Source organism: Homo sapiens, chromosome 19 (genome assembly GCF_000001405.40).
Source record: "Homo sapiens chromosome 19, GRCh38.p14 Primary Assembly".
NCBI classification, from domain to species: domain Eukaryota; kingdom Metazoa; phylum Chordata; class Mammalia; order Primates; family Hominidae; genus Homo; species Homo sapiens.
The window spans coordinates 5,528,038-5,548,476 of record NC_000019.10 but is presented as its reverse complement, the minus strand read 5'-3'; the positions used below and the strand labels follow the sequence as shown (position 1 = coordinate 5,548,476).

General features: G+C 51.4%; 2 annotated features.

Moving 5' to 3' along the window:
• Positions 10,666-11,329: an enhancer, noted in NCBI's record as "H3K27ac-H3K4me1 hESC enhancer chr19:5537159-5537822 (GRCh37/hg19 assembly coordinates)". NCBI's record gives its function as "activates a minimal SCP1, AML or CMV promoter by ChIP-STARR-seq in primed H9 embryonic stem cells {active_cell/tissue: H9 hESC(primed)}" and the evidence as "EXISTENCE:reporter gene assay evidence [ECO:0000049][PMID:30033119]".
• Positions 11,330-11,993: an enhancer, noted in NCBI's record as "OCT4-NANOG-H3K27ac-H3K4me1 hESC enhancer chr19:5536495-5537158 (GRCh37/hg19 assembly coordinates)". NCBI's record gives its function as "activates a minimal SCP1, AML or CMV promoter by ChIP-STARR-seq in primed H9 embryonic stem cells {active_cell/tissue: H9 hESC(primed)}" and the evidence as "EXISTENCE:reporter gene assay evidence [ECO:0000049][PMID:30033119]".

The window sequence follows — 20,439 nt, the reverse complement described above, 5'->3', positions numbered from 1 at the left end:
GGCAACATAGTGAAACCCTGTCTCTATAAAAACTACAAAAATTAGCCTGGTATGGTGTTGCACACCTGTGGTCCCAGCTACTTGGGAGGCTGGGGTGGGAGGATCACTTGGGTCCAGGAGGTGGAGGTTGCAGTAAGCCGACATTGCACCATTGCACTCCAGCCTGGGTTACAGAGCCAGATCCTGTCTCAAAAAAAAAAAAAAAAAAAAAAAAAAAGCTGCAGAATCTGTGAGTTGACTGCAGGCCTCATTCTGTCCCCCACCTAGCAGGATAAAATGGTGTGAGGATCAGCGGCAGACTCCCTATCTCCAGGCAGATCTGTCTCCCTTAGATGCTGAAAGATGCCAGATGGTAAACGTGTCTCCATTGTAAGAACTGATCTAACTGATCGTCAGCTTGAACTACTTTCTTTTCCTTCAGATTCCGGATTGCTTGATCCTGCCACATGGGCACAGCACTCTCTGGTGGTCGGTGCAAAGGCTGCAGCATTTTAGAAATGCAAATGCCATCAACGTGGGCAATTAAAGATTTCCTGGTAGCCACAAGAAAAAAACAGTAAAAAGAAGGCTGGGCGCAGTGGCTCACGCCTCTAATCCCAGCACTTTGGGAGGCTGAGGCGGGCGGACCTCCTGAGGTCGGGAGTTTGAGACCAGCCTGGTCTCTACTAAAAATACAAAATTAGCTGGGCGTGGTGGTGCACGCCTGTAATCCCAGCTGATTGGGAGGCTAAGGCCGGAGAATCACTTGCACCCAGGAGGTGGAGGTTGCGGTGAGCTGAGATCACACCATTGCACTCCAGCTTGGGCAACAATGAGCGAAACTCCGTCTCAAAAAATAAAAAATAGTAAAAAGAAACAGGTGAAATTAGTTTTAGTAATGTGTTTTATCATTTAAGCATGCAATCTATAGAAAAAATTGTGAATGAGCTATTTTTTCTGGGGTGTGTGTGTGTGTGTGTGTGTGTGTGTTCTGAGACAGAGTTTCACTCTTGTCACCCAGGCTGAAGTGCAATGGTGTGATCTCAGCTCACTGAAACCTCCATCTCCCAGGTTCAAGCGATTCTCCTGCCTCAGCCTCCCAAGTAGCTGGGATTACAGGCACGTGCCACCACACCTGGCTAATTTTTGTATTTTTAGTAGAGACGGAGTTTCACCATGTTGGTCAGGCTGGTCTCGAACTCCTGACCTCAAGTGATCCACCCGCCTCGGCCTCCCAAAGTGCTGGAATGACAGGCGTGAGCCACCGTGCCCGATCCGATAGTCACATTTTAAGTACTCAATAGCTACATGTGGCCAGTGGCTCCCACGTTGGACAACGCGGGTTTAGGTACATGATCGTCACTTTCCCAGACCAATGCAATCACCTCCCTTCACAATCTGTTGCCGCTGTAGCCCCCAGAAGGGTTCCTGTGAGCACCTGGGTCTGGCAATGTCTCTCCTCTGTCCAGAGCCCTCCATGGCTCCCATTGCCTTCGGGATGAAGCTAGAACTTCTCACCAGTGCCTGATTGATCCTTGGCTGCCCCCACCACCCCTGTTCTTTCCACGCAGCCAGCCACATCCACCTACCTGCTTGCCTATTCCCCCACATCCATATTTGTTGCCCAGGCTGGAGTGCGATGGTGCGATCTCGGCTCACTGAAACCTCCGCCTTCTGGGTTGGGAGAGAGGATCACTTGGGTCCGGGAGGTGGAGGTTGCAGTGAGCTGAGATTGCACCACTGCACTCCAGCCTGGGTTACAGAGCCAGACCCTCTCTCAAAAAAAAAAAAAAAAAAAAAAAAGCTTTGCACGCAGCTCCAATGTCCTCCCCTCCAAGGTCGCTCAGCACCAGCCCTGACTCTGCAGAGCTTGGGTGTCTGTGTCCAGCTCCATCCCACAGTCCCAGCCTGGGGATCCTTGGGGGCAGGGTCCCAGGCTGAGTCCTCTCTGGAGCCTGTACCGTGAAGCACCGGGGCAGGGTTCAGAAGGATGTATCACCACACAACCTTGAAGCAGCTGCCTCTGCTCACTCATTCCTTCACTAATTCACAGGTGCATTCACTTCTGACCTTAACACCTGGGAGCTAGGTCGGGTGTTGGAGGAAGCCGAGAAACTGGAAGATGGGGAGTGGAATTGAGCCTGGGTGACCGTGTCACTGTGAACAGGATGAACAGGATGACGTTCAGGCTCCTTTTCTGGCCTTCAAGGCCTCTCCAGCTTCAAGGAGACAAACTTATTAGTCCATGAATGAGTCACACTCTCCTTCACTTCTCTAGGCTTTTGCATACACAGTAAAGCCCTTTCAGCAGACCCTACTCATACCTAGAAAACTCCTATGGATGCGTCAAAGCCCAGAACAAGTCCTCATACCTACGCTGGGCTTCCTTCAGCCTCAAGTCTCTCTTTCTATTGTAGTCCACATACAGGTGGGGGTGGCAGGAAGTGGGGAAGGTTACTTGATAGATTAGTAGTGTCCCCCATAGACTAGATAAGGGTGGTATAAAGTGGGGAAGGATACCTGATAGATTAATATTAAAGTATTTGTTCTCTAGAGGTTCTCTAGAGGGACAGAACTAATAAGATAGATGTATATATGAAAGGGAGTTTATCGGCTGGGTGTGGTGGCTCACGCCTGTAATCCCAGCACTTTGGGAGGCCGAGGTGGGTGGATCACTCAAGGCTAGGAGTTCGAGACCAGCCTGGCTAACATGGTGAAATTTCATCTCTGCTGAAAATACAAAAATTAGCCAGGTGTGGTGGTGCATGCGTGTAGTCCCAGCTACTTGGGAGGCTGAGGCAGGAGAATAGCTCGAACCCGGGAGGTGGAGGTTGCAGTCAGCCAAGATCATACCACTGCACTCCAGCCTGGGTGACAAGAATGAGACTCCGTCTCAAAAAAACACAAAAAACAAAAATCAGCTGGGCATGGTGGTGTGTGCCTGTAGTCCCAGCTACTTGGGAGGCTGAAGCATGAGAATTGCTTGAACCCGGGAGGTGGAGGTTGCTTTGCAGTGAGCCGAGATTGCACCATTGCACTCCAGCCTGGTCTCAAAACAAACTAACAAACAAGAAAACAAAAACAAAAACACTTCAGAAAGGGTGCTCTGAAGCGGGTTGCATTGTCTCTGGATTCAGGACAGGCAGCAACCCCATCTCAGTGGCGTCTTGGGTTCAAATCCTGCCTCTGCCTCCCCTTAGCCAAGGAACCCAAAGCCAGTGACTTGACCTTCTGGGCCTCAGTTTCTCATCCATAAAATGGGCCCAATAACAGATTGTCCTCAGACAGCGGTGAAGCTGAAATGAGCTTCAGGTCTCAAGATGCTTAGGAGTTGCTGGCTTTGTGCATGCGTGGAGGAGTTGGGACCAGAATTAGGGTAAAGAGAGCAAGGCACCCACCTCAGTGCAAAATTTAAGGAGGTGCCGTTCAACTCAGTCACCAAGATAAACAGTAGTTTGATGCAACATTGAAAAACGTCATGAGGGGCCAGGCATGGTGGCTCACGCCTGTAATGCCAGCACTTTGGGAGGCTAAGGCAGACTGATCACTTGAGGTCAGGAGTTCCAGGCAAGCCTGGTCAACATGGTTAAACCTCCTCTGTACTAAAAATACAAAAATTAGCCGGGCGTGGTGGTGGGCGCCTGTAATCCCAGCTACTCAGGAGGCTGAGGCCAGAATAATTGCTTGAACCTGGGAGGCAGATGCTGAGTCGAGATCGCGCCACTCCAGCCTGGGCAACAGAGCAAGACTCTGTCTCAAAAAAAAAAAAAAAAAGTCATGAGGAGACTGGGCAGGATGGCTCATGCCTGTAATCCCAGCATTTGGGGAGGCCAAGGTGGAAGGATCGCTTGGTTTCAGGAGTTCAAGACCCAGCCTAGGAAACATAGCAAGACTCCCGTCTCTACGAAAAATACAAAAATTAGCCAGGTGTGGTAGTGCACACCTGTGGTCCCAGCTACTCAGGAGGCTGAGGCAGGAGGATCACTTGAGGTAGGGAGGTTGAGGCTGCAGTGAGCCATGATAGTGCCATTCCACTGCAGCCTGGGTGACAGAGTAAGACCTTGTCTCAAAAAAAAAAGAAGTCACGATGATTATGAAAACATAGACGATGAACAAAATATCTAAGTGTGAAGTGAATGACAGGCTCTGACCCTGCGTTTGCTCGAGCCCGCCTCACTGAGCTCACCCTATTCCTGGTGCGGCTGTACACCTGGGAGGCTGTTCCTCTCAGGCAACCTTCTGATTAAACCTTAATTCCTGATGATTAAGCCCAGGGAACTGGGGGCCTGGCGGTTCAGCAGGAGGGAGGCTCTGGCAGGGGCGGGCCAGGCCGGGCCTCCCTGGGGGAGAGGGAGGCCAGGAGGGAGGCTGCTGAGTGGCTAGAGAGGAAGCTGGAATTTAATTAGCCCCTCAGGATTAATTACTGGGCCCAGGAACAGGCTGAGAAATCTATTACTCTGAGCGGTTCCTGACTCCAGGCTTCCTTCATTCCCACCATCATTTTTCTCTAAACCGACTCCTCCTCTCATTGTTTTCCGACAAAATATATCTATTTCTAAAATGCACCCTTTATATCCTGCCATGAAAACCCAGATATACATCTTTTTTGAGTAGAGTAGATGCTGTATATAAATTTGGGGGAATATATACATTGAAATGAATATATAACTGTTAAAAAAAAATGATCTACACGGGCTTGATTGGTGCCATGGTTGCAAAAGCTGCTCTGCAAGCACTGAGTATGTGCTGGGGGTTTACACACTCTCCTTATCTCATTTTATCCTTATAATAGCTCTGGGCGGGGGGTGTAAGCTCTTCTCAATCACCCCTACTTTGCAAGAGCCTTTCTGGCTGTGGGATTTGTCATTTTGAATGCACCATAGACACCAGAGTGGGTTTCTTTCTTTTCTTTCTTTTTTTTTTTTTTTTGAGACGGAATCTTGCTCTGTCACCCAAGCTGGAGTGCAGTGGCGCGATCTCGGCTCACTGCAAGCTCCGCCTCCTGGGTTCAGGTCATTCTCCTGCTTCAGCCTCCCGAGTAGCTGGGACTACAGGCGCCCGCCACCAATGCCCGGCTAATTTTTTGTATTTTTTAGTAGACACGGGGTTTCACCGTGTTAGCCAGGATAGTCTTGATCTCTTGACCTCATGATCCACCTGCCTCAGCCTCCCAAAGTGCTGGGATTACAGGCGTGAGCCACCGCACCTGGCCCAGAGTGGGTTTCTATATACTTTTATTTATTTATTTATTTATTTATTTATTTTTGAGACGAAGTCTTGCTGTGCCACCCAGGCTGGAGTGCAGTGGCATGATCTTGGCTCGCTGCAACCTCCACCTCCCGGGTTCAAGCAATTCCCCTGCCTCAGCCTCCCAAGTAGCTGGGATTACAGGCGCCCGCCACCACGCCTGGCTAATTTTTGTATTTTTAGTAGAGACGGTGTTTCACCATATTGGCCAGGCTGGTCTTGAATTCCTGACCTCAAGTGATCTGTCTGTCTTGGCTTCCCAAAGGAAGTTTGGGATTTTTTTTTTTTTTTGCTTTTTGCCTCCATGTGTTTGCCTCGGCTGTTCCCCTCACCGGGAGTGTCTTTATTTACCACGTGTAAACACTCTTTGTCTGTAGGGGGCCCCGTGTACTCAGCCACCAGATCCCCCTGCACAGGGCCTGGTTGTTTGGGCTGTGAGGTTTCTGTCTGGTTCTGTCTCCCCCAGCCTGGGAGCCTCTCTAGGGCTGGGTCTCTGAACACTGCATATCCCAGCTCGGGTGGGATCCTATAATGGCGGGATACTCCTGGGGTCTTTCGAGTCTGGGGAGGTGGAGGGGCTGTGAATGAGGAAAACATTCTTCTTCTTCTTCTTTCTTTTTTTTTTTTTTTTGAGACAGGTTCTTGCTCTGTCTCCCAGGCTGGAGTGTAGTGGTGTGATCTTGGCTCACTTCAACCTCTGCCTCCCAGGCTCAAGCGATTCTCCTGCCTCAGCCTCCCAAGTAGCTGGGATTACAGGCACGCACCACCACGCCCAGGTAATTTTTGTATTTTTAGTAGAGACCAGGTTTCACCATGTTGGCCAGGCTGGTCTCAAACTGCTGACCTTAGGTGATCAGCCTGCCTCGGCCTCCCAAAGTGCTGGGACTACAGGCGTGAGCCACTGCACCCGGCTTTTTTTTTTTTTTGGAGACAGAGTCTTGCTCTGCTGCCCAGGCTGGAGTGCAGTGGCATGATCTTGGCTCACTGCAACCTCTGCCTCCCAGATTCAGGTAATTCTCCTGGCTCAGCCTCACGAGTAGCTGGGATTACAGGCATGCACCACCACAATTGGCTAATTTTGTATTTTTAGTAGAGACGGGGTTTCACCATGTTGGCCAGGCTAGTCTCAAACTCCTGACCTCAGGTGATCCTCCCACCTCAGCCTCCTAAAGTGTTGGGATTACAGGCATGAGCTACCATGCCTGGCCTTTTAAATTTTTTTTTAATTTTTAATTTTTTTTTTTAGAGATGGGGGTCTCATTGTGTCACCCAGGCTGGAGTGCTGTGGTACAATCATAGCTCACTGATCCTAGTAGAGGGAGGGAGTGTTTACAGCTGAGAGACTGACCGAGGCCCCTGCCTCTCACTCCCCTCTCTTCTCCCCATCTCTCACCTCCCTTCCTCTCTGCAGAAAGACTTAAAGTTGCTATCAGCAGGCTGCTGGAGAGATTTCACCATTTCTTGGGCCAGGGTCCGGGAAATGAATTTCACTGGTACAGGGCCAGGTGGCGGGCGTCCCGGAATGAGATCCTGACACCGTCTTCCCTGCCCCCAACAAGACTGTCTCCAGTCGCCATTGTCCCATCTCCTGGATGGGAAGACTGAGGCCCAGAGAGGAGAGGAGCAGGCCTGAGGTCACCCTCCTCTCTCTCTCACCCCATCCAAAAGCCCAAGACCTCATAATGCTTCCAGCCTGGGTTTTGAACCCAGCTGGAATCCAATCCAGGGTTCTCTCCTAGGGAGTTGGCCATATTCGTGAAGGTGTGAGTGACTAATAGTGGTCTTTTTTTTCTTTTTTCTTTTTTTGAGGCAGGGTCTCAGTCTTTGGCCCGGGCTGGAGTGCAGTGGTACAATCATAGCTCACTGCAGCCTCTACCTTTGTGGGCTCAAGTGATCCTCCTGCCTCAGCCTCCCGAGTAGCTGGGACCACACCCATGCACCCCCATGCTCAGCTAATTTTTTAATTTTTTTGTACAGACAGGGTCCCACTATGTTGCCCAGGCTGGTCTTGAACTCCTGGCCTCAAGTGATCCTCCCTTCTCAGCCTCCCAAAGTGTTGGGATTACAGGCGTGATCCACCGCACCCAGCCTGATAATGGTGTTTTTTTTTTTTTTTTTTTTTTTTTTTAAGATGGAGTCTCACTCTGTCCCCCAGGCTGGAGTGCAGTGGTGCGATATCCGCTCACTGCAAGCTCCGCCTCCTGGGTTCACGCCATTCTCCTGCCTCAGCCTCCTGAGTAGCTGGGACTACAGGCACCTGCCACCACGCCCGGCTAATTTTTAAAAAAATTTTTTAGTAGAGACGGGTTTTCACCGTGTTAGCCAGGATGGTCTCAATCTCCTGACCTTGTGATCCACCTACCTCAGCCTCCCAAAGTGCTGGGATTACAGGCGTGAGCCACGGCACCCGGCCCTGCTAATGGTCTTAATGGAGCCACTAAGACCTCCAGGCTCTGTGCCTTCCTCGTTGTGCCACTTGGGCAGGTCACTGGCTCTCTCCCAGCCTCAGTTTCCCTCCCTTATAAAATGGATGGATAATAGTTTTTGGAGTGGGAAGATGATGACCAGGAGGCCCAAGGATGTCCATCAATTTGCAGATGTTTCTAGACCTAAAGGATGCTTCCCTCATCCACAGCCTCTCCACCTCCCCAAACTCCAAAGACCCCAGAAGTGTTCCCCCATTATGGGAATCCCACCTGAGCTGGGCCATGCGGGGTCCAGAGACCCAGCCCTGAGGGGGCTCCCAGCCTGGGAGAGACAGAACCAGACAGGCATGTTCACTGCAGACTGGACTGATGGGTTCCCATCAGCATGACAGTGGCTGGTGGCGGCCGGAATGCTGGAACCACAGCTACGGTGCCCGAGTGCCCGATAGCGCTGTGGATGAGGGAGTCTGGGACTTCGTGACGGGAGGTTGGAATGGTGGCTTCCCACGAAGGTGTGAATCCTGATGGTGGCAGTTTTTTTTTTTTTTTAGACAGGGTCTCACTCTGTCTCCCAGGCAGTGGCATGATCTTGGCTCACTGCAGCCTCCACCTTTCAGGGTCAAGTGTTCCTCCTGCCTTAGCCTCCTAAGTAGCTGGGATTACAGGTGCGTGCCACCACACCCAGTTAATGTTTAAACTTCTTGTAGAAATGGGGTCTTGCTATGTTACCCAGGCTGTTCCTGAACTCCTGGCCTCAAGTGATCCTCCCTCCTCAGCCTCCCAAAGTACTGGGATTACAGGCGTGAACCACCGTGCTGGCTGTTGGCAGCTTTAATGGTGGCCGCCCACCCCCACCGCAGGGCTGCTGGAGATGGGGCTGGAGAGTGCCCCCTCCATGCCCCTTGTGGGGCTGCTACCTTCATCCCGGGGTTCCTGAGCCTTGAGCCTTCTCCAGGCCCAAGGACCACCCCTTCCCCCTCGTGCCTGGAGAGTCCTGAGGACCACACACATGTGCATGCGGGCACACGCGTGTACCTGCCAAAGACGTCCACAGGCCCCACACAGCTGTGTTCCCACAGCCGTGCCCAGTGAGTGTGTCCCCACCTCCCCCAGCCTCACACATCAGCCCTGTCCTCTGCCTGCTGCCCGGGAACAATTATAGTGTCAGGGACGAAGCTGCTGCCTCCGCTGCTGCAGACAAGCCCAGCCTCATGTTTAATTCATCTCGGGGCTAATTATAGCCAGGCAGGGGGAGGGGCTCTGTAACCTTGGCCTCCCCTCCCTTCCCCTCCCCTCCCCGCTGCCAGGGTGACTGGGGAAGAGTGGAGGATGGGGGCTTGTGTTCCACTCGGGCCCCCAGCTCTGGGCAGCTCCAGCATCTCCTCCCAGGGGCTGGTGCAGGTGCCATGGAGGCAGCCCTAAGGGTGAAAATGCAGGCACCGGCCAGGCAGGGTGGTGGGAAGCGGGAGTGGGGAAGCCAGCTCAGGACAGCTGTGTGCCAGCCTTGGGACTCCTTTTTCTCTCTCCCTCTCTCTCGTGGTTCAGGGTCGACCCTCAGACCTGGGATGAGGCCAGCTCTTCCGCCACCTTCCCTGTGAGCCCACCGAGGCCTGATGTCCCGTGGCAGATGCGATCGGTGAATCATAATAGCTGAAAAGTAGCATCACGTGACACTTGGCACTGTTTTTAGCACGTGGCTTGCTGTATTTTATTTATTTATTTATTTATTTTTAGACAGGGTCTCGCTCTGTTGCCCAGGCTGGAGTGCAGTGGCACAATCATAGTTCACTGTAGCTTCGAAGTCCTGGGTTCAAGGGATCCTTCCACCTCAGCCTCCTGAGTAGCTGGGATGACCATGCTCAGTTAATTTTTAAACTTTTTGTATCTAAAAAATTAAAAATTTTGGCCGGGCGTGGTGGCTCGTGCCTGTAATCCCAGCACTTTGGGAGGCTGAGGTGGGCGAATCACTTGAGGTCAAGAGTTTGAGACCAGCCTGGCCAACATGGTGAAACCCCGTCTCTACAAAAATACAAAAATTAGCTGGATGCGGTGGCTTGTGCCTGTAATCCCAGCTATTTGGGAGGCTGAGGCAGGAGAATCGCTTGAAACTGGGAGGCAGAGGTTGCAGTGAGCCGAGGTCATACTGCTGTACTCCAGCCTGGGCAAGAGTGTGAGACTCCATCTCAAAAAATAAAAAATGAAAAAATAAAAAATATAAATAAATAACTTTTGCTTGTTATGTTGCCCAGGCTGGTCTCGAACTCCTGGCCTCAAGTGATTCTCTTGCCTCAGCCTCGCAAAGTGCTGGGATTACAGACATGAGCCATTGCTCCTGGTCAGTTTTAAAATGTAACTTAATTTTTTAAATCCCCTTCTCCCATTTCATTTCTTTTGTAGAGATAGAGTCTTGCTATGCTGTGAGACCCTGTGCCCACAAAAAATTAAAAATTAACTTGGTATGGTGATGTGTGCGTGTGGTCCCAGCTACTTGAGAGGCTGAGGCAGGAGGATTGCTTCAGCCCATGAATTTGAGAACAGCCTGGGCAACATAGCAAGACCTCATCTCTATAGATGGGGAAATTGAGGCCCGGAGCGGCAAAGCAGACATGCCGTAGGTCACATGGCTGCAGTCTCATGCACTCTGCCTTCCTGCCTCCACCTCCCTGTCCTGGCCCAGGTCAGGGCTTTGTTCTTCCTGTCCTCCCTCCTTGGGCCTCAGCCTGTCCCAACTGACTGAGTGACACTTCCTGAAATAGCCCCTGGTGTCAGTTGTTGGCGGGCTGCCCCGCGCCACCCGCCCACGACCCCTCTATAATAGCTTTCCTCGGTGGGCGAGAGAGAGCCCAACTCCAGGGCTCTCAGCATTGGGCAACTTGCTACCCTCGTCTCTGCCTCAGTGTCCCTACCTGCACCCTGGAGGAGGGAAGCCTCTCACCCTCTGCGTCCCCATCCAGTAAGCCTGGGTCCCTTCCTTGCCTCCATATCCGGAGAGCCAGTTAACCTCCTGGCAGCAATGGCTTCATCTGTGAATGCATAACCTGTAACATGCCTCTGGATTTAATTAATCAAGTGAATGCATAGAAAGCTTAGGGCAGGCTGGGTGCTGTGGCCCACACCTGTGATCCCAGCACTCTGGGAGGCCGAGGCAGGAGGATTGCCTGAGGCCAGGAGTTCAAGACCCAGCCTGGGCAACAAAGCAAGACTCTGCCTCTACAAAAATAAAAATAAAAATAAAAATTTAGGCCGGGGGTGGTAGCTCACCTCTATAATCCCAGCACTTTGGGAGGCTGAGGCGGGTGGATCACTTGAGCCCAGGAGTTTGAGATCAGCCTAGGTAACAAGGTGAAACCTCGTCTCTACAAAAAATACAAAAATTAGTTGGGTGTGGTGGTGCATGCCTGTGGGCCCAGCTACTCCAGAGAGTGAGGTGGGAGGATCACCTGAGCCTGTGAGGCTGACGCTGCAGTGAGTCACAATTGCACCACTGCACTCCAGAGCGAGACCCTGTCTCTTAAAAAAAAAAAAAAGAAAAAAAAGAAAAAAGGCCAGGCATGGTGGCTCATGCCTATAATCCCAGGTACTTGGGAGGTTGAGGCAGGAGAATCGCTTGAACCCAGGAAGTGGAGGTTGCAGTGAGCTGACATTGTCCCACTGCACTCCAGCGTGGGCGACAGAGTAAGACTCCACTCCGTCTCAAAAAAAAAAAAAAAAAAAAAAAGAGCTTAGGGCAATGGCTGGCATGCAGTAGGTGTTTAATGAGTGTTTGGAATTCTGAAATCACTTATTCCTCGGGGCCGGGTGCTCTCCGCAGTTAAATGAGGCGGGGGCTTGCTTTTCAGATGACAAAAAGAGGGCTCAGATTCTGGGACACTCCTGACCTTGCACCCCAAGTCGTTGGCCCAGCGGAGATTCAAACGTGCTTCTCAGCCTCCAGTGCGCGCCTTTACCTCTCTTGCCCTCTAAGGCCCAGAGAGGGGCAGAGATGTCCCGGGATCGCACAGCCGTGCAGTGACAGTGCTGGGAAGGCAGGCAGGGCTCCTTCCTGGCGGGGGGCAGCACGCATCATCCTGGCCCCGGGCTGAGGGGCGGGCAGCGCCGGCCGGGACCGGGAGGGAGCTCCTGGCGGTGGCGCGAGCGTTTCCATGGCAGCCTGGCGGGAGCCGGCCGGAGCGATTAGGCGTCCCGAGGAGCAGCTGCTAAAAATAGCTCGCGCCGCACCGGGCTCATTAGCGGCTGGGCTTTTGGCTGCCAGGTACGCCCTCCCGGCTCTCCTTCCTCCTTGCGCCCGGGCGCAGCAGAGGACGTGGTGAAGGAGGCACAGCCCCGTCCTGGGCCCTGAATTCAAGCCTTGTGCCCTCCGGTCCTTCCTCTTTGGAATCTTCCTCAAAGGCAAATCCAATCTCACTCCTCCCTTGCTCTAAATCCTTCCTTGGCTCCCTATTGCCCTTGAGATCAAGGCCCTGCTCTCGCCCCCAGCTCTGCAGGCCGTTGGCCTCTATTACAACTGGCTGCCTCTTAGGGGCTCAAACCCACCCCACCCCACCTCGGAGCCTCTGCTCCTGCCGTTCCCTCAGCATGGACCATGCTACTTTCTCCTCTTCATCTTTCACATCTCAGCCTCCACGTCACCTCCTCTGGGAAGCCCAAGGCCCAGGTCAGGGGCCTCCTCTGGGTGCCTTCATCACAGTCTGACCTCACCCATGCTTCCCACACTAGCCTGGGAGGAAGAGGGCAAGTGTGTTTTGCTTCCAGCACCCCAAATAGGACTTGGTACACAGCAGTTGCTCAATAAGTGTTTGTGGAACAAAGGAAGGAATGAGATCATTGAGCTTTGATAGAAGGATTTCCTGGAAGACTAATGGGGGGCCCTGTGTCTGAGGGTCCCCGCTGTCCTGTGTCCTCAGACCAGAAGGTTCATGGTCTCTGTCATCAATCTTCTTTTTTTTTTTTTTTTTTTTTTTTTTTTTTTGAAACAGTGTCTTGCTCTGTCACCCAGGCCAGAGGGCAGTGGAGTGACCTCAGTTCACTGCAACCTCTGCCTCCCAGGTTCAAGCGATTCTTGTGCCTCAGCCTCCAGAGTTGCTGGGATTACAGATGTGCACCACCATGCCCAGGTATATATATATACCTGGCACAATATTAGCTGACCACAGCCTCCACTTCCTGGCCTCAAGCGATCCTCCCACCTCAGCCTCCTAGGTAGCTGGGATTACAGGCACCCGCCACCATACCTGGCTAATTTTTTTATCTTTTGTAGAGATGATGTTGCCTAGGCTGGTCTCGAACTCCTGGGCTCAAGTAATCGCCTGCCTTGGCCTCTCACAGTGCTGGGATTACAGATGTGAACCACCATGCCCAGCCTGTATCCTCTCTTGACCAGGCTCACTCTTCAGCTTCCTCTGGAGAGGATGGCTTGGCTGTGTGACCCAGCCAGCCCATTCACCCTCTCTGGTCCCCTTTCTGCCTTACAGAATCACCACAAATGCACAACATAGGGGTTGAAAGGACCCAGCTTGGTTCTAGAGGAACTGCAAATTTGGAAGAGAGAGGGAGGGAGATATGAAGATGAAGGAATGTAGGGGAGGATGGATGTCCCTGAACATATCTTGGAATAAAACTAAGTCTTGGAAAAAAACTAAGTGGACAGCATCAGGAAGAGGAGAGCCAAGGTCAGTTACCAGGCTGGCCACAAGGTGGAGCTTGTAGCATGGTACAGCTTGGTTGCAGCAAGGTTGGAGGAACGAGGCCAAGAGCCAAAGGAAGATTGGGAGGAGGAGAGGAGAGAGGATGGGCGTTTTGCATCAGGGGAGTGTTAGCACGGAAGAGCAAAAGTCTGGAAGGCTGGGCATGGTGGTTCATGCCTGTATTCGCATCACTTTGGGAGGGTGAGGCGGGAGGATCGCTTGAGTCCAGGAGTTCAGGATCAGCCTGGGCAACACAGTGAGACCCCCCGCTAACTGCTTCAAAAAATTTAAAAATTAGCCAGGTGTGGTGGTGCATGCCTGTAGTCCCAGCTACTCAGGAGGTGGAGGTTGGGGAATCACTTAAGCCTGGGAGGTCAAGGCTGCAGTGAGCTATGATGGCACCACTGCACTCCAGCCTGGGTAACAGAACGACACCCCATCTCCACAAAAAAAAATCAAAGGTGGCTCAAACCTGTAATCCCAGCTACTCAGAAGGCTGAGTGGGAGGATCACTTGAGCCTGTGAGGTCGAGGCTGCAGTGAGCTTGTGATGGAACCACCGCACTCCAGCCTGGCAACAGAGCAAGACCCTGTCTCCAAAACAACAACAACAACAAAAACTCTGAAATCTGCAATAGGGGCAGTGAGAGTGCTCAAAACTTTTGATTATTCAGCTGGGCGCAGTGGCTCGCACCTGTAATCCCAGCACTTTGGGAGGCCAAGGCGGGTGGATCATGAGGTCAGGAGATCAAGACCATCCTGGCTAACATGGTGAAACCCCATCTCTACTAAAGAATACCAAAAATTAGCCGGGTGTGGTGGTGGGCACCTGTAGTCCAAGCTACTCATGAGGCTGAGGCAGGAGACTGGTGTGAACCCAGGAGGCAGAGCTTGCAGTGAGTGGAGATCACACCACTGCACTCCAGCCTGGGTGACAGAGTGAGACTCCGTCTCGAAAAAAAAAACAACAACTTTTGATTATTCATGATCTATGTTGCCAGAAACCCATAAGACCATGGCTTAAACAAGGGTGACACTCATCACTCCTGTCCTCATAACCTGGGCATCAACCCAGGCTGCAGCAGAGGCTCCACAATCACCAGGGACCCAGGGCTCCTTCGGTCTTGTTGCTCTGCCTCCTCAGCCCCCAACTTCTATCTTGTGGACCACAGTGGCTACTCCGGCCCCTGTGATGGTGGCCACCTTCCAGACACAGGTGGGGGGCAGTGGGGGAAGAGGAAGAAGAAGGCCTGTTATTTTCTTCTGAGGTTACACCTGCTTCTGTCCCGTTGTTCACAATATGTCAGACAGTCACACTGACCTGCAAGAGAGGCCGGGCAACACAGTCTTTAGCTGGGCAGGTTTCATTTGTAAAGGAGAAAGTGGGGAATGGATGTTAGAGGCCAACCCACAATCTCTGCCATTGAATGGGTTGGGAAAAAGGAGTGGACACTCTTCACCATTTTAGTGACTACCTCAGGGAGATGCTAAAGTGAGAACGTGAGGCTTCCATCTCAGGGCATAAGCCAAAGTCTTCTTTGTCATTTCCAAGGCCCTGCGCAATCTACCCTCCATCATTTCCCTGACCTCATCTCCTTCCCCTCTGCCTCTTGCTTGGCTCTGCCCCAGCCACATGGGCCTCCTCACTGTTCCTCCAACACACCAGGCATAGTCCTGCCTCAGGGCCTTTGCACAGGCTGTTCTTCCTGCCAGGAATGCTTTTACCCTAGATCTCTCTTTGGTTCCCTTCTTCCTCTCCTTCAGGTCTCTGGTCTAAATCTTCTTCTCAGTAGGGCCTCCCTGATGACCCTGTTTAAAATTGCAACTGGGAGGATCACTGGAGTTCAGGAGTTTGCGGCCAGCCTGGGCAACATAGTGAGACTCTATCTCTACAAAATAAAAAATAAAAATTAGGCCGGGCATGGTGGCTCATGTCTGTAATCCCAGCACTTTGGGAGGCCAAGGCAGGTGGATCATTTGAGGTCAGGAGTTCAAGACCAGCCTGGCCGACATGACAAAACACTGACTCTACTAAAAATACAAAAATTGTGCCTGTAAATCCCAGCTGCTCAGGAGGCTGAGGCAGGAGAATTGCTTGAATCTGGGAGGCAGAGGTTGCGCTGAGTTGAGATCATGCCACTGCACTCCAGCTTGGGCGACAGAGTGAGACTCCGTCTCAAAAAAAAAATTAGCCAGGTGTGGTGGCGTGCGCCTGTAGTCCCAGCTACTCAAGAGTCTGAGGTGGGAGGATGGCTTGAGCCCAGGAAATCAAGACTGCAGTGAGCTGTGATTGCACCACTGAACTCCATCCTGGGCAACAGAGAGAGACGCCATCTCTTAAAAAAAAATTGCAACCTGCCCTCCCTTTCCAATTCTTGTCCCTTCCTGATACTTTCCATGCTCTGATTTTCTTCACAGCACTTAGCATGCTCTAAAACCCTACAGATTTTCTGGATTTATTTGCTCATTGTCTGTCTGCCCAACTAGGCTGCCAGCACTTCCAGGACAGAAATTTCTGCCTGCTGGCCGGGTGTGGTGGCTCACGCCTGTAATCCCAGCACTTTGGGAGGCCAAGGCAGGCGGATCACGAGGTCAGGAGATCGAGACCATTCTGGCTAACACGGTGAAACCCCGTCTCTACTAAAAATACAAAAAATTAGCCAGACATGATGGCAGGCGCCTGTAGTCCCAGCTACTCAGGAGGCTGAGGCAGGAGAATGGCGTGAACCTGGGAGGCGGAGCTGGCAGTGAACTGAAATCGCACAACTGCACTCTAGCCTGGGTGACAGAGCAAGACTCCATCTCAAAAAAAAAAAAAAAAAGAAATTTCTGCCTTCTTTGGTGCGTCTTCAGTGCCTAGAACAATGCTTGGCACTCATTAGGGGCTCAGTGTATATATATATATATATGTGTGTGTGTGTGTGTGTGTGTGTGTGTGTGTGTATACATATATGTATACATATATACATATATACACATATATACATATATATACATATATACACATATATATACACACCTGTATATATATACGCACATACACACATGTATATATACACGTGTATATATATATACACGTATATATATATACACATATATGTGTGTATATATATATACACGTGTGTATATATATATATATATACACACGTGTATATATATACACACACACGTGTGTATATATATATATATATTTTTGAGATGGAGTCTCGCTCTGTTGCCCAGGCTGGAGTGCGGTGGCACAGTCTTGGCTCACTGCAACCTCCACCTCCTGGGTTCAAGCGATTCTCCTGCCTCAGCCTCCCAAGTAGCTGGGATTATAGGTGCCCACCACCATGCCCAGCTAATTTTATATTTTGAGTAGAGACGGGGTTTCACCATGTTGGCCAGGCTGGTCTCAAACTCCTGACCTCAAGTGATCCGCCCACCTCGGCCTCCCAAAGTGCTGGGATTACAGGCGTGAGCCACCGTGCTCGACCCTAAAACCCTATAGATGTTCTTGATTTATTTGCTCGTTGTCTGTCTGCCCAACTAGGCTGCCAGCGCTTCCAAGACAGAAATTTCTGCCTGTTTTGTTCTCTGCTGCATCTTCAGTGCCTGGAACAATGCTTGGAACTCATTAGGGGCTCAGTCAATTTTTTTTTTGAGACGGAGTCTCATTCTGTCGCCCAGGCTGGAGTGCAACACTGTGATCTCGGCTTACTGCAACCTCCGCCTCCCAGGTTCAAGCCATTCTCCTGCCTCAGCCTCCTGAATAGCTGGGATTACAGGCGCCCACCACCAGGCCCAGCTAATTTTTTGTATTTTTAGTAGAGACGGGGTTTCACTATGTTGGCCAGGCTGGTCTCGAATTCCTGACCTTGTGATTGCCCTCCTTGGCCTCCCAAAGTGCTGGGATTACAGGAGTGAGCCACCGCGCCCGGCCTTGGGGCTCAGTCAATATTTTGAATGATGAAACTGAATAAGCAAAGTAGACACAACTATTCCCTCTTTTAGAGCTATGGAGACTGAGGTCTCAAGGGGAAAGGTGACTCACCCAAGGTTACATGCCAGAGGGCGGCCGAAAGATGGCTGTTACCTGGCGCCTTTCCTCAGTTTCTCCCTATTGGCTGACGTCTTTCTTCACCCTTGCCTTCCACCCCGAGTTACCTATACATTTTGGTTCTGCTTTTGTTTCCTGGAGCACATTTCTGTTGCTTGCAGCCAAGGACCCAGCATGCCCAAAGCAGCCACCTACACCATGCCAGGCACGGTGCCCGGTCCATTAGCTGCTGTGTCACATTGAATTGCCACGCAAGTATAATAACATTTGCAAATTTAACATCACACATAAAATGCTTCGCCTCAATTTCATAGGCATGGAAGGACTGAGGCACAGCGGGAGAATGGAATTGTCCTGGTCACACAGCCAAGAAGTGCAGAGAGGGGAATCGAACCCTTTGCCTGCTTTTTTGTTTTGTTTTGTTTTGTTTTGTGATAGAGTCTCACTCTGTCACCCAGGCTGGAGTGCAGTGGTGTGATGTTGGCTCACTGCAACCTCTGCCTCCCAGGTTCAAGAGATTGTCATGTCTCAGCCTCCCCAGTAGCTGGGATTACAGGCGTGTGCCATCACACCCGGCTAATTTTTTTGAATTTTTAGTAGAGACGGGGTTTCACCATGTTGGCCAGGCTCATCTCAAACTCCTGAACTCAGGTGATCCGCCCGCCTCGGCCTCCCAAAGTGCTGGGATTACAGGCGTGAGCCACCACACCCAGACTTCAAACCCTCTGTCAATTGGCATCTGTCAATGCCAGCCCTTTCTTACATCTCATTCCCTTGCCTATATTATTATTTTGTAAAGACAGGGTCTCACCATGTTGCCAAGGCCGGTCTCGAACTGCTGGCTTCAAGCACGGCTCCCGCCTTGGTCTCCCACAGTGTTTTGATTACAGGTGTGAGCCATTGCGCCCATCCCTTTGCCAATATGAGGTTCTCTGCCACCCAGGACAGCGCAAAGCTAATGGGCTTGGGTTCAGCTCCTGCCTGGGGTGTGGCCTCACTGGGTGACCTAGGGCCTCTTCCTCTTCCTTCTTCAACCTCAGTTTTCTAGACTGAGAAATGGGAATCCTAAAAGCTATTCTGGGAGGATCACGGGGCGTTCTACTCTGCCCAGACCCTGGCAAGCAGGATCTGGGAGCGGGAGCGGAGGCAGCAGATGCCCCCACTCCCATCACCCCCACCTTCCCAGCCCAGCTCCTTATTCCCTCGGCCACCCCATGCCAGGTTTCTGTTTAGTTTAATAATCTCCTGAAAGTTTAATTGTTGTTTTATTCATCCGTGACCTTTCTCTCTCATCTGGAGACGTATTATTACTAATCTACAAATTTCAAGAACCAGATTTATTTGCAAAACCAATTACCTGCCTATGCAAATGACCTCTCTCTGTGCCCGCCTCCCTGGCCAGCTGGCTGTGGGTGGGAGGGCAGGGGAGGGAGAGCTGCCGCCCGCCCCCCACAGAGCCACTGCTCAAACACTGGGGTGCAAACTTATCTATAATTCCTCAGAGCGGAGCGGCCCTCTCGGCCCCAGAGTTAATTAGAATCTCAGTAATCAAGGGGGGCCCTGACCCTGTACCTCTTAGCTCTGACCTCCTAAAGGGGCCTCTTGAAGTGGCCAGAGGCTGATTACCCTCCCACCCCATCCTTCTGATGAGAAGGATGCCTGTTCATTTGTCCATTCATTCATTTAGACATTTTCAGACACTGTTTTAGTTTCTGAAGGCAAAGCAAGGAACAAGCAGGCCTGAAGGAAAGAAGTCCCATCATTACGGAGCCAGCAGTCTAGGGGAGAGAAAGCAGGCAACGTAAATAAGAAAAATGTAGGCTGGACGCGGTGGCTCACGCCTGTAATCCAAACACTTTGGGAGGCCGAGGCAGGTGGATCACAAGGTCAGGAGATCGAGACCGTCCTGGCCAACATGGTGAAACCCCGTCTCTACTAAAAATACAAAAAATTAGCCGGGCATGGTGGCGCATGCCTGTAGTCCCAGCTACTCGGGGGAGGCTGAGACAGGAGAATCGCTTGAACCCGGGAGGCAGAGGTTGCAGTAAGCGGAGATCACGCCACTGCACTCTAGCCTGGGTGACAGAGTGAGACTCCGTCTCAAAAAAAAAAAAAAAGAAAAATGTATAGCATGTCACAGAGCCTGAATCATAACGGAGAAGTAAGCCAGGAAGGGGGACGGGAAGTGCCAGGGTAGGCTCCAGGCAGTGTGGACCCCTCTCTCCCTTCCTCCCTCCCACAGTTCCAGCCACAAAGAGTAGCTGATTCTAGGCTGGATGTGGTGGCTCACATCTGTAATCCCAGCACTTTGGGAGGCCGAGGTGGGCGGATCACTCCAGTTCAGGAGTTCAAGACCAGCCTGGCCAACATGGTGAAACCCTGTCTCTACTAAAAATACAAAAACATTAGCCGGGCGTAGTGGTGTGTGCCTGTAATCCCAGCTACTTGGGAGGCTGAGGCAGGAGAATCGATTGAATCTGGGAGGCGGAGGTTTCGGTGAGCTGAGCTCACACCACTGCACTCCAGCCTGGGCGACAGAGTGAGACTCCATCTCAAAAGAAAGTAGCTGAATCTTTTTTAAAAAAAATCCTATTTACTTAAAAAATAATAGAGATGGAGTCTTGCCATGTTGCTCAGGCTGATCTCAAACTCCTGGGCTCAAGCGATCATCTTGCCTCAAAACTAGCTGATTCTTTTTCTTCTTCTTCCTTCTTTCTCCTTTCTTCTTCTTATTTTTCTTTCTTCTTTCTTTTCCTTCTCCTTCTCTTCTTTTTTCTTCCTCAACAGGGTCTCAGTCTGTCACTGAGGCTGGAGTGCAGTGTTTCGATCTTGGCTCACTGCAGCCTCCTGCCTCTCAGGTTCAAGCGATCCTCCCACTTCAGCCCCCCAAGTAGCTGGGATTACAGGCATGTGCCACCATGCCCGGCCAGCTAATTTTTGTATTTTTAGTAGAGACAGGGTTTCACCATGTTGCCCAGGCTGGCCTCAAACTCCTGAGCTCAAGTGATCCACCCGTCTTGGGTTCCCAAAGTGCTGGGATTACAGGCGTGACCACCGTGCCTGAT